At 54.0% G+C, this 23,602-nt stretch overlaps 1 protein-coding gene across 6 annotated transcripts in view, besides 3 other annotated features; it reads right to left on the reverse strand.

Moving 5' to 3' along the window:
- Nucleotides 1-23,602, reverse strand: part of CACNA2D2 (calcium voltage-gated channel auxiliary subunit alpha2delta 2) — a 141,632-nt gene that overhangs the window by 96,873 nt on the left and 21,157 nt on the right. For all 6 annotated transcript variants that reach the window (NM_001291101.1, NM_006030.4, NM_001005505.3 and 3 more), the window contains exon 2: nucleotides 16,633-16,714. In NM_001291101.1, coding sequence (NP_001278030.1) covers nucleotides 16,633-16,713 — 81 coding nt within the window. In that variant the 5' untranslated portion in view covers nucleotide 16,714. The remainder of the gene's footprint in view (nucleotides 1-16,632; nucleotides 16,715-23,602) is intronic.
- Nucleotides 410-599: a silencer, noted in NCBI's record as "fragment chr3:50497326-50497515 (GRCh37/hg19 assembly coordinates)". NCBI's record gives its function as "represses an EF-1alpha promoter that drives an FKBP-Casp9 reporter gene in an ReSE screen in HepG2 liver carcinoma cells {active_cell/tissue: HepG2}" and the evidence as "EXISTENCE:reporter gene assay evidence [ECO:0000049][PMID:32094911]".
- Nucleotides 5,097-5,598: an enhancer, noted in NCBI's record as "H3K4me1 hESC enhancer chr3:50502013-50502514 (GRCh37/hg19 assembly coordinates)". NCBI's record gives its function as "activates a minimal SCP1, AML or CMV promoter by ChIP-STARR-seq in primed H9 embryonic stem cells {active_cell/tissue: H9 hESC(primed)}" and the evidence as "EXISTENCE:reporter gene assay evidence [ECO:0000049][PMID:30033119]".
- Nucleotides 7,925-8,426: an enhancer, noted in NCBI's record as "H3K4me1 hESC enhancer chr3:50504841-50505342 (GRCh37/hg19 assembly coordinates)". NCBI's record gives its function as "activates a minimal SCP1, AML or CMV promoter by ChIP-STARR-seq in naive H9 embryonic stem cells {active_cell/tissue: H9 hESC(naive)}" and the evidence as "EXISTENCE:reporter gene assay evidence [ECO:0000049][PMID:30033119]".

Below are 23,602 nucleotides of genomic sequence, written 5' to 3' on the forward strand. Positions count from 1 at the left end.
CCCCATGGTGCCCTGCTCCCCAACTCTTCAGCCCTTGGCACTACAGGGTGTCACACAGGAAGATGATCTGGGACTCCGAAGCCCATCAGTCTAAAAACTGTCCCCCAGCAGGGCCCTGAGGCCTCCAGCACCTGGAGCCAAGGGACCTAGGTGCGAACTCAGAAAAGCTTCGAGCCCCTCAGAACTCCAGCCAGGAATGTGAACCTGATGGTACACTTGTACCAGGACCCCGGGATGTGAGTGAGTCCAGGGGAGAAGCCCATGCCCTCTGACCCCAGGTGACTGGGAACTGCTCACTGCTGCACCCCACCAGCTCACTGGCTGCCTCCTGGGGAGGGGTCAGCAGACATCTGAGGAAGGAATATGAGAGGCAGGCAGTGCTTCCCAACCATCCCATTGATTCCTGGGGGTTCTGCCTTCTCACCCTGCAGCCTGCTCCCACCAGAGATCCCCTGGCCCACAGGCACTGCTTCCACCCTCCATCCTCTTCAGCACCAGGAACTGTCCCAGACTATCCCATCCTGTCTGCCTCGCCTGATCCGGAGTCAACCCCCGACACCCCTGCAGGTTCCAACTGTGGCTACAACATGGAGTTTTTAAATACTAAATAAATAAATAAATACATAAATACATGAAATGTGAATTAAGCCTGTTTTTTAAAATTAAAGAAAAAAAGGAGACTAGGGAGACATGACAACTAAATGCAAAGTGGTTCCTTGGATTTGATCCTGGAACCAAAAAAGGACATTAGTGCAAAAACTGGTAAAATCCAAATAAGGTCTTCACTTTGGTTTACAATACTGTGCCAATGTTGATGTCTTAGTTTTGATATTTATACCACGGTTATGCAAGACGATAACTTAAAGGAAACTGGACAAAGGGTTAGGGAATTTATGTACTATTTTTGCATCTTCTCTGTAAATCTAAAATTATTCTTTTTTTGTTTTTTTGTTTTACCTGTAAATCCAAAATTATTTCAAAATAAAAAGTTTTTTTTTTAATCTATAAAGCTATACTGTCCTCAGACAACTAACAGACATTGTGGCAAGAATGAAACAAGAACAAGATATTATTCTTAAAAAGGTCCGGCTGGGCGTGGTGGCTCACGCCTCTAATCCCAGCACTTTGGGAGGCCGAGACAGGAGGATCACAAGGTCAGGAGATCGAGACCATCCTGGCTAACATGGTGAAACCCCGTCTCTACTAAAAATATAAAAAATTAGCCAGGCGTGGTGGCGGGCACCTGTAGTCCCAGCTACTCGGGGGGCTGAGGCAGGAGAATGGTGTGAACCCGGAAGGCGGAGCTTGCAGTGAGCCGAGATCACGCCACTGCACTCCAGCCTGGGTGACAGAGCAAGACTCCGTCTCAAAAAAAAAGAAAAAAAAAAAGTTCCAAAAGACATCCTGGAAATTTAAAATGCAATGGTTAAATGTAAAATTTGATGAGAAGATTTTCTCACAGAAAGACACAGAAATGGAATATTGGAGACAAAAGAAAAATAAAAAAGAACAGGGCCTGAGTTAAGGTTTCTAGAAAGAACAGAGAAATGAGAAGGGAGGAAACAGTCAAAGAAACCATTCAAGAAAACATCCCACAACTGAGGGACACAAGTAGTTTGAAAGTGTGCACTGAGTGGTAAGAAATGAAAAGCCGCACAAAGATAGGTCAGTGTGGAATTTCTGAACACTGGGCAAAGGGAGAAAATTTACAAGTTTCTGATAAAAACCAGGTCATGTACAATGGATCGGGAATCTGAATGACTGGGGACCTCTCCATAGCAACTCAAGAAGCTGGAAGGAATGGAGTGCTGCCTTAGAAAATCTAAGGCAAATGGTTTCCACCCTGGACTTCCAACCCACCTGAAATCTCTGTTGAGCGTTGGGGAGAAGGAAGGCTTTCTGAGACATGACAGTCTCCAAAGTCTGGCTCCCCTGTACCTGTCCTCAGGAAGCCAACTGAAAATGTTCTCAGCTGGGCGTGGTGGCTCATGCCTGTAATCCCAGCACTTTGGGAGGCCAAGGCAGGCAGGTGGATCACTTGAGGTCATGAGTTTAAGACTAGCCTTAAGCCTTAAGACTAGCCTGGCCAACATAGCGAAACCTCATCTCTACTAAAAATACAAAAATGAGCTGGGCGTGGCGGCGCAGATCTGTAATTCCAGCTACTCAGGAGGCTGAGGCAGGAGAATCGCTTGAATCTGGGAGGCAGAGGTTGCGGTGAGCCGAGATCATGCCACTGCACTCCAGCCTGGGGAGTCTCAAAAAAAAAAAAAAAAAAGAAAAAAAGAAAGAAAGGAAGGAAGGAAGGAAAGAAAAAATGTTCTCTACACCAAAATGAGGGAGAAGTCTAAGGAAGAGGCCATGGGATCCATGAAAGAGGGGACTCCAACCCCAAGAGGGGGAAAGGAAATCCCAGGGACACATTGGTGCCGCAGGCTGGGAGAGCAGCCAGTCTTCCCTGGAGCAAGGTGGAAGGCTCTGGGCAGGACTTTCTTGGAAGGTAAATTTAATTTAACAGAAGCCCAGGTGTATGAGAGCCAGGTCAGATAAAGTGGCGGGGAGTTGGGGGCAGAGTGAGTAAAGGTTCACAGAAGACTAAACAAATAAACTAACAACAGCTGGGCACAGTGGCTCACATCTGTAATTCCAGCACTTTGGGAGGCCGAGGCAGGGGAAGTGGATCACTTGAAGTCAGGAGTTTGAGACCAGCCTGGCCAACATGGCAAAATCTCATCTCTACTACAAATACAAAAACGAGGCAGGTGTGGTGGTGCGTGCCTGAATTCCCAGCTACTGGGGGGCTCAGGCAGGAGAATTGCTTGAACCAGGGAGGTGGAGGTTGCAGTGAGCTGAGATGGTGCCACTGCACTCCAGCCTGGGTGGCAGAGCAAGACTGTCTCAAAATAATAATAATAATAATAATAATAATAATAATAATAATAATAATGATAATAATAATAAAACTAACAAAACTGAGACAGTTTTTACTGGTAGGAAACAACTAAAAAATTGTATCCAAAAGTCTTCCGCAAGGCGCAGTTCTGAATTGCATTTGCTGGGTCAGGGCAATGTCAACAGTGAGCCTCACCATATCATGTTATGCACAAAAGGGCGAGGGATGGGCTGGGGGAGGGGTGCAAAGCCCTCCTCTCCCGCAGCAGGATGCCCACGGATAATGCCTAAAACTGAACAATCAAGAAGTAGCGACATAAGTATGTCATTTAGAGATATGGAGCTCAGAGATTAGAAAGTGACAGCCTCTGGGGAGCTGGAAATGGAGAGGAGGGGGCTGCTGTGCTCCTAACACAACTCGCCTGATAAAACCATGACTTTACACCAGGCGCCTGTGTAACACTGATTTGAAAACCCTAAATTTAAAAATCCATCTAGAAATATAAGAAAAAGAAAAAAAAAAGAGAGAGGGAGGCTGGGAGGGGAAGGATAGAAGGATAGAGAGAGAAGAATGTAGGCAGAGGAGTCAGGGACAGGGGACTGACTGCTTTGACTCCAGCCTCTGGCCTCAGGACAGTGGCCGTCAAAGGGCAGCAGGCGACATCACTACTTCTGTTTACTCTTATTGCAATGAAGACAGTTTGAGATTTCAATTCCCTGATCAACTGGGTACACAGACCAGGCTCCTTAGACTGAAACACTGAATTGGTATTGGTGATCCCTGGTCAGGGGTCCCACCCCAACACTCCCAAAAGTTGGCAATAATCACAAAGCAAGTTGAGGGACAGCAGCCACAGGCATCTGAGAGATAATGCCATCCATCCTAGAGGACAGTGCCAGGTGGTAAGGAAGAAGCTCCAAATTTCTCTTTTTTTTTTTTTTGAAACAAGGTCTCATTCTGTCACTCAGACTGGCGTGCAGAGGCACAATCACAGGTCATTGCAATCTCGACCTCAGCTCACGCAATCCTTCCACCTCAGCCTCCCCAGTGGCTGGGACCACAGGTGCACGCCACCACGCCCAGCTGATTTTTGTATGTTTTGTAGAGACAGGTTTTGCCATGTTGTTCAGGCTGGTCTCCCCCAGAGTCTATGCAGCCAAGGAAGCACTGTCTTTGTACACACCTCTGTTTAAAGCTGTGCCATTTCACCCTGACCAACAGACAGCCCTGCCTGGGAAGGGACAGGAGTTAGAGGAGGGCTGTCTGAGAAATGGGGCTGAGTGGGCTGCAAATGTCTTTGCCACCTCTCACACCCTCCCTGGAATCCCCAACTCTTTGTGTAACTTTCAGGAAATGCACAAACCAGCAAGCCCTCAACCCAGTGGCCTCCTTGTATGGGACAGACATCCTGTCCCAGGGGGAGAACGAAGGCTGGGCGTGAGAGAGCCCCTGAGTCCCAGGGAGGGAGGACCCTCATGTGAGCCTGCACTGCAGACCTCATGCCAAGGGCAAGCTCAGCTGAGAGGAGTCCAACACAGTTTGGATGAAGCCCAGCGCACCTGGCTCCTCAGAAGGGGAGATGCTGAATCCAGACGCCCTGGGTGGGCTCGGTTGCCTCTGCAGATCATGCAGAGGGAGCATGGGAGCTCCTCAAAAGGCAGGACAGCAGGCCAGGTGAGTACCCTGGGAGAACTCCCTCCATCACCCAGGCCTTGACCAGGCCCAGGCCATGGCTCATTGAGACTGAAGCCCCCCCAGCGACCCAAGAACCTGCTGGCACCCCAGGATGTGGGATCACCCCAAATATTCACCTTTCTACATCCCACGTTTACTGGGTACTCACTTCAGAAGTGGCCCAAGATTATTTGGGCACTCCAGGATCTGTGGAGGAGGCAGGTCAACTAGCTTGGGACTAGACATGACCTTCTCTAGTTTGCCTAGGGCATCTAAGGCTGTGAGTTGAGTGTGCACATTCCTGGAGGGCTCCAGTGCCCAGCTGCTGCTGAAAATCATGCAGGTGGGAGAATCAGACCTTCCTGGGCAACAGAGGGGCATGTGTCCTACCCCAGGAGCTGGTCTGAGTGGGTAGCAAAGCCTCAATCTGGTGGCCCTGTTCAATGAGGGAACCTATCCAGCCTCCTGGGAAACCCTGTCTGCTGTGGGGGTGAAGCCACAGCCCACATAAAAGCTGTGGTCTGAGGGGGAGACACAGTATGCCAGCCTCAGGGGTCCTAGTCTAAGAGGAGAAGCGGCCAGACCCTTCTTGATGCAGAGGATGAGTTTTCAGGGCCTAGTCTGCTTTGCCCCTAGAAGGCTCCAGACCTGCTCCTTCGTTTCCCCTGAGTGGCTCCTCTACCACTTAGCAACGGAGACAATTTACATAATGCATCCAGTGTGAGAGCAATAATGGCTGGGGAAGCAGGGTGCCCGTTAGTGGCTCCTCGAAGGGAAAATACCTGCTCCCACACCACTGCCTCCTCCTCTAGCGAACTGGGCTGCAAGGCTGCTGGAAAGCAGGTGCCTTTAAGTGCTTGGCTGCTGCCAAGAAGGGCCCAGAAAGGATGTGCCAGCCCTGGGACTGGGGCTGGAGCAACCTCAGGACAGAGATGCACATGGGAGGAAATTTCCAAAGCACCTGTTCTGAACATAAATCTACCCAGCTGTACTCCTGGAGTCCATACTCCTGCTGGGCCTAGGCCCTCCATCCTGATCCTTCCCGGAGGAGGAGGCCACTCCAGCAGGCGGCATGCTGTAGTCGGGAGGCTGGGTGCCAGGCTGCAGCTGCCCGGGAGGTGGCCACATTTGAACACAAAGGCAGCGATGGAAGGGGTAGATAGAATACGTACAAATTACTGGCATAGTAATTGCTTTTTATATAAATGTTCTTTTTAAAAGTTTTCCCTGGTGTGAAAGTCCGTCTTTAGAAGGAATAAATTCACTGCACACCAATTTATTCCACACTGGTAGATGGAGCATAATGAAGGCTCCTCCGTCAGCACCTGATCAAGAGGCAAGTGGCTGCCACTTGACCCAGCTTCCGGGTCTCCCTGCACGATGATGCAGTGCAGTGGCAGGGCCAGGGGTCTTTGAGGGGCAGCAGGTCTGCCTGCCAGGAGTCAGCATCAAACCCAGACTCTAAGACTCAGGTACAAGTTCAACAGATCCCATCAGTGTCCCAGGAGCTGTGCCCAAATGACGAACATGAAACACGGGCAGCTGCAATCACAGTGATTCATGCTGATGGGGAGGCGCACAGGGCTATGGGAGCTGGGGAGCATGGGGGACCCTCACTTTCTAGGATCGGGTGAAGGGAGGTGTTAAGAAGGCTTCTAGGGGATGAGGTCTCCCTGGCCTGCCTGCAAGGCATGCAGAGGAAACTGGATTGTGACAAGCATCTAGGGGTTGTAAGTGGGAGTGGTTTGTCTTGTACTGTAGAAAGCTCCCTGGTGGACACTAGCTCTTCTCTAAGCCCAAAGGAACCAAGACAGGTCCCCCTGCCTTTGGAAGGTAACTCTTCAGTGGATCCAAGTGCACTGGAGAATCACCTGACCATGCCTGCAAACTCTGGAGGATGCCCCCACTCCCCAGGAGGCCCGGGACCTGGAAATGAGGCTCTGGCTCCTTGCTCCTTACCAGCCACAGCTCTCTCATCTGTGAAATGGGGACAAGGTCCTAGGTGGCCTCACCACCAGCCTCTGTGAGCACTGGATTAGGGATGAGAACTGCCTTGCACAAGGCCTATGATCTCCACAGTAGGGATCTTTGGTCCAGCCCCACCCCAGGATGCACCCCCAACCACCTGGCAGCCTGCCCCCATGCAGGGCTGCTGAGCAGTGTCAGACAGAGTGACTGGGGGGATGCTCACCATGCATGGGGGAAGTGTGTGTGTGCGCATGTGTGTGTGTGTGTGTGTGTGTGCTCCTCACCCACAATTGAGATTTCTCAGCTTTGCTAATTAATCAGCTAAGTAGTTCTCGCCTGCTCGGGTGACAGAGCTCTCCACACCTGCCTCCTCACAGTCCCACCCTACCCTAATGTGTGCCCGCTCACACCTCCACAGGCAGCACTCAGAACTGCACATTTGTGCACACACACATGCACATGCTCACCTTCTATGACCACTCCCATCTATGGACACACAAACGCTCACATGTTACTTACAGCACTGACGCACAGGGGTTCACTTATTCTCTTCTCCGTGTGCAGGCATGTGTGCTCACATTCCCCATGCAGCACCACGCATCTCTCATGAACCATGATCAGCCCATGTTCCACCTCACATGAGCCTCAGCAGGTCAGGAACTGTGTCTACAGTGGATCACGGGACCAAGAATCACCAGGGCTAGCTGCCTTCCCAGTCTGACCGCCTGCACTCAGGTGGACTCCTGGAAAGCCTGGGCATGACCCTGCCTTCCGGCCATGGTCTCCATACCCCATTTGATGGGAACACTGGATTGGGCCTGCCAGAGATTCCTGACAACCCCCATCTTCTGTCTGTACCCGAAAGATGCAAAAGCTGAAGGCAGCAGCAAGTATCAGACACCACTGGCCTCAGCATTGATCTGGAGGGATTCCTGGAGGAGGGGAGCTGTGGGCTGGGTTTAAAAAGCTGGGAAGAGGCCTGTAAGGGGGTGGGGGGAGTGAGGAGTGTGGCAAGTGGACTTGAAGAAGCTGAGTGGTCTAGTGAGAGTGAAGGGGAGGACACCCAAAGGCCTGAGAAAGGCTCCTTGCTACCCTAGCCTGGTGCCACACACCTGGGCCAAGCCTTCAAGTCACTCTAGGAATGGCCAGCCTCCCTGGCCCCAGACCAGTATCTGGGTAGCCAGCACACTCTCACATCCAGCTCCTCTCCACTGCTGCTGGGCCCTCCATACCCTCACAAAGAGCAATCCAGGGATCATCTATGTGGGGTTGAGTCCTGGCAGATGCCCCATGCCTGCTACATCTCCTAGGGCATCTGGCATCAAGGCTCAGTCAACCCTGATGCACTAGTCTCAGTTTCTCCATGGGGGCAGATGGTTCCCAAGGTCGAATGGGACAGAGTCAGAGCCGGGATCTGTCCCTTTTCAGTCCTCAGAGCACTGCCGCTTTGCTTCTCCATCTACTGAATAGTTACTAGCTGGGCACCTCCTCCATGTCAGCCTTGTGGGCACCTATGGACATGTGTACCCCACAGGCATACGTACACACCTGCCCGCCTGCGTGTGTGCATAGCCTGCCTCTCCATCCAGACTGCACACCCTTGCATACTGAGGTCAGGCCCTCAAGCTCCAAGGGTCGGTCACTTGGTTCCCTGCTTTAGGAGAACCCAAAGATAGACAAGGAGGGGGTGTGCCTAGGAGCCAACCCTTGCCTCAGTCTCTCCCCCTCTCCATGGAGCAGGCCAGCCTCTGTTCAGAACTGTCAGGTCCCAAGGCTGGGAGACAGATATAAGAAAAGGTTTATGGCTCCGTAACTTTCTCCAAACATAAAATCTCCGCTTACAAGGTGAGGGCAGCCACACTCAGAGAAGGTGGAGAGAGGCCATGCTGAGCCTCCATCTCCTGTCTGGTTGTGGGGAATGCTGCTCCTGCCGCCCCTGGGGCCGGCTGTGGTTTGTCAGAACCAATTACTTCTCTGCCTCCGCCAAGTGCTTGGGGCTCCATGAATCCGAGGCAAGTGTCTCCGTGGCTGCCACTGATCCAGCAATGAAAGGGAGTGAAGGATGGGGGAGGAATGCAGATTGGGTCAACTGTCCCCAGGGGGCCGAGCATAAACCCATTCAGCCCTCTGTCCCCAAGCCCCATCTCCCACCCTCGAACATTCAGACCAGCCTCCGGCTCTGGACATGGCAGCTCTGTCCCTTTTCAGAGATGGATGCATAGGCCGGCTGGGGTGACAGCAGACCCTGGCTACTCTTCAACAAGATGCAAGGGCTGAGTTTGAACTGATCTCCCGCTGTCCTGCTGTAAGGCCAGCCTCCCTAGGGACCTCTGAAGAGAACCAGCAAGTTCATCAGAATAGTGTGTGTGTGTGTGTGTGTGTGTGTGTGTGTGTGTGTGTGTGTGTGTGTGTGTGTGTGTGGCTTTAGGAAACTTTCACAGACAAACCTTGCTGATCCCCAAGATGGAAGGATTGAGCGGCCCTCACTTCAGGGAAGGGCCCTGCAGCAAAGCCAAGGGTTAGCGACTAAAATCTTCCAGGCAGAGCAGTGCTGTCTGCCTAGGGAGGTTCTGTTCATGGCCACTGAGATTGTCTCTTCCTTAAACTGAGGGACAGAGAACCCAGGCAGAGAACCTTCCAGAGATCCTGAGAGATTCCACCCTCAAGAACCCCCGATCCTCAGCTCTGGCCTCAGCCACTCTATTTTCTTATGCACTAACTTCCCCATTCCCAACGCCAACATCTAGGCACAGGTCAGAGTTGGGTGGCTTTGTATGACTCCCTACTCCATTCCATCCCCTTCTCTCTCTTTTTTTTTTTTTTTTTGAGATAGAATCTTACTCTGTTGCCCAGGGTGGAGTGCAGTGGAGCGATCTCGGCTCACTGCAACCTCCACCTCCCAGGTTCAAGCAATTTTCCTGCCTCAGCATCCCAAGTAGCTGGGATTACAGGCATGCACCACCATGCCTAGCTAGTTTTTCTATTTTTAGTATAGACAGGGTTTTGCTATGTTGGCCAGGCTGGTCTGGAACTCCTGGCCTCAAATGATCTGCCCGCCTCAGGCTCCCAAAGTGCTGGGATTACAGGCATGAGCCACCACGCCCAGCTGTCCATCCCCTTCTTTAAGCCCATGAGGCCTGAAAGACAAGGTGTCAACTTGTTGACTGATTGGAGAAACTGACTCACAGTCTTCCGGGGTATAGGGGCCCTTCCTTTTGTCTCTGCCCATCTCCTCCCCAACAGCATCTCTGCAGCTAGCTCCCTGGATTTCCGGCCAAAGAAATCACGTACCCTTCGCTGGTCCACAGGCCCTATTTTTTCAAGCTCTGCCCCAGCTTGGTGGCCTTTGTGCCATCTTAGGGAGATGTCCCTAAAAGGTGTCATGATCAACAGAGATGAAGGGACCAGTTTCTAAACCCCTGGACTGAATCAAGCAGAAAGGACACCTTGGGCATGTGAACTTTTCTAAACTGTGATCAACCTCTGGAAGGGCAGGCAATTGACAGTGGTTGTGGGGGTGGAGATGGGACAAAGACACCCCACACTTACGCAGGGCTAGGTCTGCAGCCGTTCCTTGCTCCTGCTCCCCTGAGATCTTCACATACCCTGTGAGACAGTACTGCTTGGATCCCCATTTCCCAGGTGAGGGAATCAAGGCTCAGAGAGGCAGGACAACATGTCCCGGGTCCCACAGTGCCTGCCCTTCCTGTCTGCTTCATCCTTTCACCACTTCCCACCATCCAGCTATTGCCCCTGGCACAGGCCCTAGGTTCAAACCCAAATCCAGCTTGGCCTTAGCTGTGGGACCACAGGCAGGTCCTACCTTCAGAAGGCACAGCTTTTCCTACCGCTTCTCTCCCACTCCAAGCTGTTCCCCATCCCCTGGGAACTGATCTTGGAAGTGCCCTCTAGTGACCTGTTGGCACAAGCTGGAAGCTGAAGGCCCCTCTCCATGACTGCACCACCAGCTGGTCCCACCCAGAGATGCTGCTCCCACAGACCTGCCCCTCTGTGCCCATGGCCTCCACAGAAACCTGGGGGGCAACTCCGTGCTGAGGCTACTCAGAATCCCAGAAGCCTTGGAGCAGGGTTCCCTGCCCCAGCGCTGCCCTGCCAGGACTCTAGGAGCCAGGGGCCCATGTGCAGCCAGGCCTCTCTGGGGCCTTCCTGCCACTGCATCTCTACCTTGTCTAGGCTGTTCTGATACAATACCCTCATTCCAGGGGGCAGGAAGAGAGGAGGCCTGACAGGGAACAAGGGACTGAGAAGGGGACCCATACCTGGCCCAGCCTCAGCAGCCTGGAGGAGCCACTGGGGTGGGGGAGGCTCCAGGTGGCTGGTGCCACAGAAGGGGTGGCCAACATGAGCCAGGGTCCCTGGGACAGGCATCCCAGGACAGTCCCCCTGCCCACACAGCCCCTCTCTGATGAGGGCGTGTGGAAGGATATGGGCGACCTAAGCCAGTCAGCTGGCCCAGGCCAGATGCCTGCCATGGATGAAATAGCTTTAGAAAAGCTTCTCAAAAATGGAATTTTCTCCTGCCAGCAACAGAGTGTGTGTGTATATGGGGGGAGGGGGCGGGGGGGGGGGGTGGTGGTCAAGATGGCAACAGCCACTCCCCATCCAATCCTGTGTCTCCCCACACAGTGCTCAAGAGAGAACATTCCCAGACTTTACAGTGGGCGGGGGAGAAGGGTACCAGAAGAGGCTGCCCCCAGGTCTGGGCCTGGGAAGGAAAGAGGCAGAGAGCAGGCCGGGTTGGGGGGGACACAGAGGGGGTCTAGGCAGGGCTTTGGTCAGGCTCCTATGCATCTGCCTCTCTCTACCCAATTATGCTCGAGCAGCGGCCTCACCACGTCTCAGACGCCCTCCCGGGAGCCCCCCCTTTAGCCCCACGCATCCCTGCTGGGTGCCAAGCAAGAGGACCATATGGACGGAATAATAAGACAATTAACTTTCCATTAAAGAATAATATATGTGGGTTTTTAGGGAGGCAAGCGACAGCAATCCCTATCCAGCGGCATATTTCACACCCGCGCTTCCCCACTGCCCCCCACCCTGATGCGCCCCACATCCCCATCATCTACACCAGGAGACGAGGGCACCGCTGGGCCTCAACAGGAGGTGGCTGGGTAGAGGGGTGGAGGCTGCGTGATGAGCAAGTGCAGAGCCTGGAGATGCTGGCTTCAAGGCTGCGGGAGCCCTGCAGAGGGGCTGTGCCATGCTTGCCACCCCTCACCTGACTCTCGGTGCGTCAGTGCGACAGCCTGTACCAGTGGGGGACCTGGCCAAGGAGCTGCATGCCTGTCTCCTGTGGGCACATGTTAACCACAGTGCTCTGGTGAGGGGACCTTCTGTGGGGTCTAGGGGGGACAGCTTCTTGTGCTCCTCTTGCCTGGCCCTCTGGGCGCCCCTCCCCACCAGCTTCCTTCTTCCTCTTCTGCTCCAGCCCCTCTTAGGTTCTGAGGTTCCCTGGCACTTGTGGGCACTGCTAATCCCACTCTGGATGCCCAGAGGGCACCCGCCCAGAGTGTACCCTCCCTAGATGGTAACAGAGCTCAGCCTCAGCCAGCACCCCCAGAGTCAGTGTGTGAGTGTGCATGTGTTTCAGATGTTGGTGGTGCCGGCTGAGGTGGAGGGTGGAAGGGGACAGGGGGAGGCCTGTCTCAAAGGCACCTGCAGAGTGGCCCTGTCCCACCTACCTGAGCCCCTCGAGAAAGTGGCCCTGGACATGGCCAGACTTTGGTCAGTGCCGGGAGCCAGCTCCAGATGTAGTACTCCACAAATATTAATTACACATTCCTGAGGAGTGCTGAGCAGACAGGGCACAGAGATGGCTGGGGGCAGAGAAGATGGAGTAGATGGAGTAGGACTGTGCCGCTGTCACTGGTTGGAAAATGCCATTCCTGGCTACCCATAAGAAATGGAGACACACAGACACCGTTGATCTGAATCACCATGACTGTCCAGAGAAGCACAGAAGTGGGAGGGGAACAAAAGACTCAGGTTGGGGATTTCCAAGTCCTGGGGTCCCATTCTCTGTGAATGCAGGCTCAGCAGTCTTGGGGAGGGGCGGCCCCGGGTAGCTCCTCTGCTAGACAGCTCCCCAACCACCACTCAGGGCTGACCTGCCAGGGATCCATTATGAGACTGGCTGGTGGAGACAGCAGCCAGGGCCTCGGTTTCCCCATTTGTATGACAGGATCACAGGAATAACTAGCAGCATGTAGCTGGGCTAAGGCCATCATGGGGTTAAGGCAGGCAGGACATGGGTCACGCCGTATGCCATTTCTGCCCTGACCAGCGCGCAAGCTATGAGTGGTTGATGAGGACTGGGAAAGGCTTCCATGGGTCCAGAATTGGCTTGAGCCTTCCCAGAGGGTAGCCTGTGGCCTCCAAACATGGCTGTCTCGGGTTCCTGCTTCTAGCCCAGCTCTGGCCAGGCAGCTCTAGCCTCAGCCCCGACCCCAGGCAGAGGAGCTTCCCTCCTTCTATAGAGATCCTCCAAGGAAGGTGTCTCTCCGAGGTCAGGAATGCATCCCGGGGCTGGCATGCCTCAGGAGCCAACTGATTCTTCATCATGTCTGACTATAATCTCTCCTGCTTTGCCTTCCCACCAGGTTCCCAGCATTGCTCCCCCTGGACCCTAGACACCTAGCCAGAAGAGGGCAGGTTCCTGGCTGTACCCATCAGAGTGACCTGGGCTTCAGAGAGGGGAGACCTGTCCCAGCTCCACATCCTCCCCACCCCCATTCCCCATGCACCCCCAGGCACCTGATGAATTATTCATCCTGATCAACCTCATTATGTAAATGAGCTCAGAGCCCAAGCATATGCACTCTATTCTCCCCCAGGATGGGACAATATGGTGCTGAAGTGGGAGGGTAGAAAAGAGGCTCCAGACACCTTGCTCAGGCCCTAGGGGCTCTGCAGGGGGACATCACAGTAGGGTCTATACTTTTGTGGCCTATTGAGGGCAAGAGTGGGCCACGGGTTGGGGGAGTTGGGCTGGGGAACCCAGGAGGATGCGACTCAGGGTGTCTGGACAAGCGTGGGGGTGGGGACAATACGTAAGCACCAGGCCACAAGGAGAGCTCCAGCTATGCACTAGCTGCGATGTTAGATGAGGAAATGAGATGAGGTCTTCACAGGGAGTGCCCACATGCCACAGAAGTATGCCACAGTTTCAACCTGCAAATGGGCCAGCCTGCACCCAGCCATGCCCTCATGGGGGTTATGGTGAGGTCAGGAGGAGGAAAGTGCCAAGGCAAGGAAAACATCCCCAAACGCTACTGTCTGCAGTTTCTGCACTCTGGCAGCTGCCAGCCCTCATGGCTCCAAGCTACTGGGAGTGGGGCAGCCTCTAGGATGGAGGCACGCAGGCTGGGCAGCCTTTGAGGGGAAGAAGGCCAAGGGGCCTGGATGCCAGATCACCCCAGCTGTTTGGGGGCAATTCAGAATCAGCTCAAGGAGGGCTGAGGAGGGGCAGCCCCACTGGGGGCCAAGGCTGTCAGCTTGGCAGAGCTGGTGCCAGGGTCTGCAGCAGTATCACAGCTGGGCCAGGGCTTTTCTCCAAGCATCCTCCTGACCTATCAGAGCCAGGTATGGGCTGGGTACATGGACCGTCTTCGTGTGCATTTGGAGAGCAATGGTGGCTCAGTCGGGGTCAGGGGTGAGTTGTGGAGGGCTAGGGAGCAAACTGGTTGGCTCCTCCTGCTCCCACAGGGTTGCCCTCTTCCTCTAGAACTCTACACCTCAACCCCCAACCCCCACGCCCACCTCACCAGAGTGCCCCGTGCCAAGAAACAGCCCCAGAGCTGTTGGCAGGAAGTAAGAGGCTGAAGAAGCAGAGGAGGAAAACTAGAGCAGGACAGAGAGCCGCTGGAGCGCTGGCAGCCATCGGCAGGCAGAGACACTCCACCAGAGTGCCAGGAGAAGCCGGGGATGCCAGGTCAGCACTTCTCTGCCTGCCTGCCTGCCACGCTGAGCACGGCCCTGCTCTGGCCCAGCTCCCTACTGCCCCAGGCTCATCTTGTCCACCCTACCAAGAGGGGAAGTGGAGCCACAGCCGGAGCTGCACGTTGGAACAGGAGTCAGGAGCCCTGGGTCCATGCCCCAGCTCTGCTACAAGCCAGCAGCATGACCACCTTGGTGACTGCTGGGAGGGAGAGGGTGGGGGAGACAGGCTCACTGATGAAAGTGTCTAGAATCTCTCAAGTCCCATGAGAAAGGAAGGGAAATTATCCCTGGGAGTGAAAATGATCAATGAGGGAAATTCAAATTTGATTTCCAAAAAAGGGGCGTATCTGTATCAGCCTGTCCATTGCTGTTTTCACCACTTCATCCTCCGGTCAGACTTCCCAGCTGTGTATGGGTCAAGAATGAGGATCAGAGAGGATCCAGGCTCACCCAGGGGCACATGATGGTACGCTGAGCTGGGATTCCATCTCTGGTTCTCAGAATCTAGCAAGCTCACTGGTCCAGACAGACCTCGGCCATGACGTATGAACACTATTTTCTCATTGCCAGACATTCAGAGCCTGAGTTGCCCGTGAATATAAAATAAACAACATCTTCAAGCTAAAGGTTTGAGGCATGAAGGATTATTGACTGGAGGAGTACCGTTAACTCCTGATATGTGGTATAGCTTATGTCCCGATATGAAACTTGGAAAGGTGCTGGCTGCACACATCAGGGAGCTATCATTCCTTCATTAGCCCACACAGCTATCCTTGGCAGTGGCTACTTGGAGCCTGGTTAGTGCTGGGTGCTATTCCTGAGCCTAAATTGACTCCTGTTCCGGAACAGCTTTTTCTACAGCACTTTCTCTGGAAAGCTCTGCTGGCCTCCAAGTGCGGCTGAGTCATTCAGAGTTCACAGGAAGACAGTGTGATGGAGGCTGCTGACATCCAAGCCCAGCAACCAGGAAAGGGGTGTTTAGTGTCGCTGGGCCACTGGCAGGGAGGACACAGACCTCCAGACCTGGACTCTCCCTTCCCACGGCGTTGCCACGTACTTAGCCACCCATGACCAGCCCCAGCCTGTGCCAGAGGTCCTACATTCACACCCAATGTCAACACACTGGCTGCCACCCCCACTTCCTGGGCACCAGCTATAAGCTAAGCATGAGGAAGGGATTGAGGACAACCCCTACGGTCCCTGCCCCACCGAGGTTACATCTGCTGACCCTGGCCCTGACCAACAGGGACAACAGGAACACAGTGGGTATATAATCTCCAAACCCTGGACCTGGACTCCTGACTGAACCAGCAACAGTAGGTTGGCTTACTCTGCTGTTCCCGAGCCAACTCTCAGTGGGAGACCCCCATTTAATCCCCTGCTCAGTTCTGGTCAGTACCTCCTGGCCCAAGCCCCCGGCAACAAGATCCTCAAAGACTGCACGTACCCCGAGAGTCGTAGCTCCATCACTCCAAGAGCTCGGCCCTCCCAGCCTCTGCATCTCCACGTAGAGAGCAATGGCTCAGGAGCCCGGGGCCTGACAGCAGCACATTTTGCAGCTTCCGGGGGTGATGGATGGCCTGCTCTTCACATCACTATTTCAAACATTAACATAATCTCCCAGGATGGATGTGGTGGCTGGTGCCTAATCAATCACCCCTCCCACACCTTGATCCCTCATCCCACCAGGCATGGGATTTCCACTGTCTCCTGCTACAGCACCTCAAGCACCGCTTTCGGGCTGGTATGGACCGGCCATCCCGTTGTTTCCTGGATCCCTTCAGCTCCTGTGCACCCCTGCGTCCACTGACCCCTCCTGGGCCTGGGCTCCCACCCCAGGTGTCCCTCAGACACAGACCTCTCCCTCCTGAAAGCCCAAAAAGCTCCAAATCCCTTTCAGCAACAGGGTCATCGTCCAAGCCGGGTGGTGGCTCCGATCGTTGCCTCAGGAAGAGCAGGCCAGGCCCCAGAGGAGTGCTGCCCATCCAGTCATGTCCCACCTGCCCCCACGGGCCCATCAGGTCCCACCACACCAGGACCTCCATTAAACCAAATCTTCCTCACTCCTTATTTCTGAAGCTTTTCCCCTTCCCTTGGAAGAGGGTCCCTGAAGAGACAGCAAGTGGCACCGGGCTCACCTCACGGAGCTGCTGGACGCCTCCAAAAATCCGCATCACGCCGTCGACCTCCTGCTCCAGACGCCGGGCCCAGTGCTGCATCCTGTATGCAGAGAGAGGAGAGAGGTGTCAGGAGGGCCTGCCCAGAGCTGCACAGCCCCACCCCAGCCAACCCGGGGGCACTGGGGGCAACTATCCACTCACACCCCAATTTTCACTAGAGGAGGACCCACAGCAAGGAACCAGCAAGCACCTGCGATTCCCCTTTGAAGTCCAGACCCAGTGGCCCAGGTGCTCCTCATGCACTGTGGGGTGGCGAGGAGGAGAGAGGATTGCATTGTGGATGTGCTGAGGGAGCTCAGCAGCTCAGAGAAGCCTGCAGTGAGGCTACTTTTCATTGTGAAGAGCCAGCCCTTGATGTAGCTGCTCTGAACTTGGGGACTTCTGGACACCAGGGAGGAGGGAGACATGAGGGAGCCTCAGGGAGTGAGGTCTGCTGGATCTTGGAGCCTCCTGTTCCCAAGGCCAGGTGGGGCCTAGAGAAGGGGACGGAACACTGCTGTCACCAAGTCATTGTGTAACTGGGCAGGTCCCTGCCCCTCTAGGTCTCACCTGAGCAGTGGACGTGGAGAGTTCCAGATTAGGCAGCCCTTGCCTATCCAACACCCTGGTAGACAGACGCTTACCCGAGGCTCATTGCTGGATGTCCAGCAGGAATCACCCACTCAGGAGTCCACTGCAGACCATCCTGCCTCACAATCCACCTGAGCCACATCCTGAGCAGGTCTCCCTCACACTGGTACCACCCTGGGATTGCTCTTTGTTTCTTTTTCTTTTTTTTTTTTTTTTTTGAGACAGAGTCTCGATCTGTCGCCCAGGCTGGAGTGCAGTGGTGCGATCTCTGCTCACTGCAAGCTCCGCCTCCAGGGTTCATGCCATTCTCCCGCCTCAGCCTCCAGAGTAGCTGGGACTACAGGTGCCCGCCACCACGCCTGGCTATTTTTTTCTATTTTTAATAGAGATGGGGTTTCACTGTGTTAGCCAGGATGGTCTCGATCTCCTGACCTTGTGATCCGCCTGTCTCAGCCTCCCAAAGTGCTGGGATTATAGGCATGAGCCACCGTGCCCGGCCCACCCTGGGATTGTTTTAACCCATTTCCATCTCAGCTTCCTTCTCTGGAATACGGGGATAATTTGGGGCCACCTTTCAGGGTGTTATAAGAACACATGAGAATAGGTAAGTCAAGCGTGTTCGCTGCATGGGGATCTTTGTGAGTGGACAGGATGGACAGTTGGTCACGTGGCCCTCTATTCTCAGACCCACAACCTGGAAGAAGGAAGGAGTCTGGGGCAAGGCCTTGCCTGGGTTCAGATACATGACCCACTCCCTTAAGCAGAGCCAGATCAGGCGAGCAAAACCACACTAGACCTTGCCAGAGGCCAGCCAGAGAGAACCACACAGAACCACAAAGGTGCTCTTTGCCCTCATGCATTTGAAAAGGTATCTCAACTTCTCCATCCCACTTGACACACTCCCATTTTACAGACCAAGACCTTTCCAGGAAGGGCGCACAAAAAAGTTACCATGAAGATTTAAATAAGCCATGGGTCAAACACAGCCCACAGGGTACAGTAGGGGCAGGGTGATGCCAGCCCCCCAGCCTCTGGAGGTACCCCGGGAGCCATGGGGTACAGGAGATTGCATCTGGTCCCAACTCCCTGGGCCTGCTGCCTCCTCCAGTGCCACTTGGGCCAGGACTGTTCTGGCTCCATGGATCAGAAGAGCCCAAGCCTCTACCTGGCCTCCTGCCCTGCCTCCTCCACTCAGGCCTGTGACTAAGGGGCTGGGCCCATGCAACTGTATGTGCCTGGGTCGGTTGGCATGGGAACTCGGAGCAGGAGGCAGGCAGATCACTAATTGCAATTTGCCAAGCTGAATGTCAGGACCATGATGGAAAAAAAAAAAATCAACATCAAAAGAAAGAGGTATTAGCTTCGGCTTGTTGCTGGCTGAGCCACAGCCGGATTCCCTCCTCCGCTCCCCACCACAGGGGAAAATCTAACCCTGAGTGCGGGTGGAGGCCAGGCTGCAGGCTGGGCTAAGAAGGGCAAGCAGGCCTCAGCTGCCAGCCTGGGGAGGGCAAAGGGCAGCAGAAAATTGACAGCCTGCGTGACCCCTGGCCCCTGTCCACCAGGGCCTGGTTGTGGGTGGACAACATAGCGGATGGCTCCTTTGTGCTCCTGCGATGGAGCCCTGGGGGCTAATGTTGGGATGGGCTATCACAGTCAGCCAGGCAGGGGGCAGACAAATGGGCAGAGTGAGGATCTGATCCCCAAAGGGAACCATTAGCTCTGCCCTGGCCCTGACCCTGACCTCAGCCACTCACTGGTGTAGAGAACAAAATGCCAATCAATCCTTCCTGGGACTCATTATGTGCGAGGGCATCCACTACGTACAAGGTGCAGTGCCAGCATGTCACCTACTTTCTCGCTTCAGTCCTTACAAAGAAGCAAACATTATCATCCCACCTTACAGATAAGGAAACTGAGGCATAGTGGGTTCAACTGACCTGTACAAGGTCACCTATCCAGGAAGTAGTGAACACAGGACTTGCCCTAGAAGTGTGCTGGAGTCACAAAAGCTGACTCACAAAAGCTGATTCTGTGCACCTCTTTCCAACTCTGCATTTGGTACCATCACCTGAGGAGCTTGAAATAGGTCATGGTGGGAATATTTACACCACAGGAATTGGCAAATGCTAGAAACCATGTTTTTCCCCCTGGAGAACAAATTGTAAACATTCAGCAGCACATTACTGATTCCACCCCAGGCTGTTGACTCTTCTAGTATGTCTATAGGTCCCTGCTTCTAGGATTTCACAGTTAAGTAAAAGAAAATTAATTGGGAGAAGAGACATGGATGCCAAGTTTTATTTTGCTCAGACAACACATTATTATAATCATCATCATTTCATCTAAAAAGGCTATTTCAACACTAAAATAATTTTTAGAAGAGCCAAGTCTTAGGATAAAGTCCAATCCTTCCCCAAGATATACACGCTCACTCTCCCTCCCTCCTTGTCTCTCTCTCTCTTACGCACAGTCTCCTTACTCCCACCCTGAGGCTGAGTAGCTCTAGACTCTGCTATGGGCTGCAGGAACTGGCCTGCTATGACACAGCAGGCCACACACATGTCCTCCCAAGGTCTAGAGGTGGCTCCAGCCCTTTGCCTGGCATCCTGGACCTGCTGGGCAGACCCCAAGCCCTAGCACATTGCCCATCAGCACAGTGCCAGGGAAAACAAGTTACTTTGATTATTCACTTAAATCAAACTCAATTAGGAGGCAATATGTGTGTCTCAGAGTTAAAAGAAAATAATTCATTCCATTGTCACAGAGATGTGACTTTGTGGGTTCTAGGACTTCGCCAGTGTCCCAGTGCCACCTCCAAGGGGTGACACAGAGGCCCTGAGGGGGCCAGGAGTTGACTATGCACCTGCACTGTTCCTGCCTTGTGGACGAGAAGCCACCCACCAAGCCAGGTCCAACCCTGGCCAGGGAATCGTACTCACTCCAGCAGAAGGGAGGGGGCCTTGGAAAGACAACGGATGCATGGGAATGTCCCTGCCCCCACTGGGTCAAAGATAAGCTGATCAAATCCTGCCCAGACTTCCCTCTGCTTGGAATCAAGTGCCTGGCTCAGCCAATGCCTCCCTGACCAGACAATGTTGCCCACAGGCCACACACCCAACACGGAGGTGGACCTGCTGGCTCCCCACATCTTTGTAATTTTCCATGCTTTTCATTGAGATGACACTGCTTATCCCTAATTGCTTCTAAGTGCCAAACTAACAAGGCAGTGAGGGGAGAGTGGCCAGGAGGAGATGTAGGCATCTAGGGGCTGCAGTGGCTTAATGACTGGTGTGGGCACAAGAGACTAGGGATCAAGTCACGTCCTCCAATGTGCCCAGCCCTAGGGAGGTGAACACATTGTGGCTCCATTTCCCAGACAAGAAAATTGAAGCCCCTGGTAAGGATGGGTACAGGGTCACATACTTAAAGAGAAACAGACTTGTCCTGACTCCATCTATTCCATGATCCCATCTTTCCAGGACATTGTAGCCTTTGGGAAGCCTCAGGGGAAAGGCACTTCTGCCGCTGTGTGACCTCAAAGAGTTCTGTCCCTCAGAACCTCAGCTTTTCCATCGGTAAACAGGGGTAATAATGACTGGCTGAATAGTTTTTAATGGTCAAATCCACAGGCTTTTACTGGACAGTCCCCTGAGGGCTAGCAGCTCATGCAATACAGCCCCTCCCCTAAGACCTAAGGACTTATTGAGGGCTCAGGACATCTTCTATGAAAGCTTGTGTGGGGGGTGGGGAGGCTTGTGGGGAGGGGGCACTGCAGAAGAGGCCTAGCAGGCTGAGGCAGCTCTGCAGGTAAGAAGATGACACCCTGAGTTGCAGGATGCCAGGCCTTGGTTTCCAGGGCATGGTTCAGAACCAAGAGGAGTTGGGGAGGGAGAGGGGATATCACTAACAGGCAAGGGAGTGACATCATCTGTGCGTGGGGTGAGAAGCTGCAGCTGAGCACCCCTTTAGCAGACAGGATCATTGAGACCCCAGCTAGAAGGCTGGGGGAGGCTGCATGTCAAACTGCATCGCATTCAGGTGGGGGCTTCCAGCTTAGGGGCAGCTGCAAATGCTCAGGGGAGGGGGAGGGTAAAGAGGAAGGGGGTTGGAATGGGGAGGAATGGGTACGGGAACGGGAACAGGGAGGAACGGGAGGAAAGGGGAGGAAGGGGGAGGAAAGGGGAGGAAGGGGGAGGAAGGGGGAGGAAGGGGGAGGAGGGGATGGGGAAAAGGGAGAAGAGTCCGTGTGCAGATGCAGCAGCATAGATTAAACTGTTGCCAGTTGTTAATTTTATATGTGGAGTTGTTGATCAGAATGTGATTTAATTGTACAGTATAATCCAGGCTTTTGGAATAAATTATGCAGAAAACTCATCTATAATTAAACAAATCAAAAAACCAGAGACAGGTGACACAGCAGGTTCACCCTCAGAGGGCACGGGTGGGTGTGGGCAGCTGGACCCAGCAGAGGGGCGAGAAAGGATGGGGGAGGGGCTCTGTTCAAGAGCAGACAGGGGCAGGCCCCGGAAGGGTCAAGGCCTGGTAGGGAGCAAGGGGCTCGGAACACCCGAGCTCTGCCTCTGTGGGCCTTCTTACCACTCACACGGAGGCATTTTTTGTCATCAAAGCCCTGCTGCCTCTCCCAGATGGCCTGTCTGGATCAACCCTGTTCCACTGGGCACCTATAATCAGTCTGTGGCCTTCCCTTCAGCTTGGCAGTTCAGCCGCTGCGCTTCGTGAGGGAGTGAGGGGTGGATACTAGGGGTGGGCAGCAGGGGAAGCAGGAGGGCTGGATGACAGGACAGCAGGAGGCTGGGGCAGGTGAGCAGTGTGAGGGAGCAGGCACAGTGAAGGCCACTGCTGCCAAGTGCACGGTGAAGCAAACTTGGCAATGGCGGGGCCCCACGTCTCTTGCTTCTCTCATGATAGGCTGGCCAATTATTCTCCCAGCTCTGGGGAAGGCAACAATTTAAAATAAAGTGCAGGCTGGGCATGGTGGCTCACCCCTGTAACCCCAGCACTTTGGAAGCCCCAGGCGGGCAGTTTGCTTGAGCCCAGAAATTTGAGACCAGGCTGGGCAACACGGTGAAACCCTGTCTCTACAAAAAATACAAAAATTATCTGGGTGTGGTATCGTACACCTGTAGTCCCAGCTACCCGGGAGGCTGAGGTTGGAGGATCGCTGAGCCTGGGAGGTCAAGGCTGCACTGAGCCAAGGCCATGCCACTGTATTCCAGCGTGGGTGACAGAGCGAGACTGTCTCAAAAAATAAAAATAAAAACTATAAAATATAAAGTGCTACTTAATTATTCTGGTTATTTCCACTGGCCTGTTACCTCCCACCTCAGCACCTCTGCAGTCTTCTGAAGGGGAAAGACAGGGTGGAGAGGCAAGCAGGCCACTCCCCCATCCCAGCCTGGAGAAGGCGTGCTTCCCCCAGCAGTCACTCCAAGCTCAGAAAGCAGCTGAAGCAGGGCTTGGAACAAGGCTGGTCCCTCCCCTAGGCCCTCGCCCTGCTGCAAACAGCAGGAAGTTCAAGGGTGCACTCCAGGACGGTGGCATCTCCTGGGCCACCTTCCCTGGGGAGTCCTCTCTGACCACTCGGGTGGATGTCCCTCTATACCTAGTGCCTGAGTGTACTGAGTGTACAGTACCTAGTGTACTGAGTGCCTAGATCCAGCCCTGGCTTTTGCAAGACCTTGAACTAGACCTTTCCTGTTAGGCTTCCATTTCCACATTTGGAAAATGGAGATAAAGTTCACCATTCCTTTTACCTCCAAGGACCCAAAGAGGAGCTAAGTGGAAACCACAGCCCCACATGTGGGATGCTAGCAGTGACGGCTGCCCCACACACTCATGGCACACAGGTCCATCCAGAAGGTGGGACTGCTCTCACCACAGTCCAGCCTCCCTCCTCAAGCCTGCAGCTCCCTAAACATGGGATGGTTGTGCCTCCTCCTTAGACTGTGGCCTCCAGGTGGGCTGCAGCCCCTCTCTGCACTGCCCCCAGAGACCCAATGCAGCAGAGACCTGGTGGGGTGCCTTGTCCAAGGAGCCCTGGGGAAGGGCAGGGTTTCCTGTGACCAGACCTTCCTTCTTGCTTGTCCATGCAAAAGAGAAGACTCTCAGGTTTCAGCAGCTTTGGGGGCTCAAAGCCCAGGGCAGGGCCTCCCAAGGATGATAGGGCTGGCAGAGGGCAACAGTCTAGCCGAGATCACTCACTCCCCAGAGGCCACCTGGGCCACAAGATTACAGTGCCTTCAGATGTGGTGGCAAATCAGCACTGGCCTCACACTACAAAGACCACAGAGGGGACACTGAGCCCAGAGTGAGAGGGAAGCATGCTTGCTCAGCTGAT

This window comes from Homo sapiens, chromosome 3, assembly GCF_000001405.40.
Source record: "Homo sapiens chromosome 3, GRCh38.p14 Primary Assembly".
NCBI lineage: Eukaryota > Metazoa > Chordata > Mammalia > Primates > Hominidae > Homo > Homo sapiens.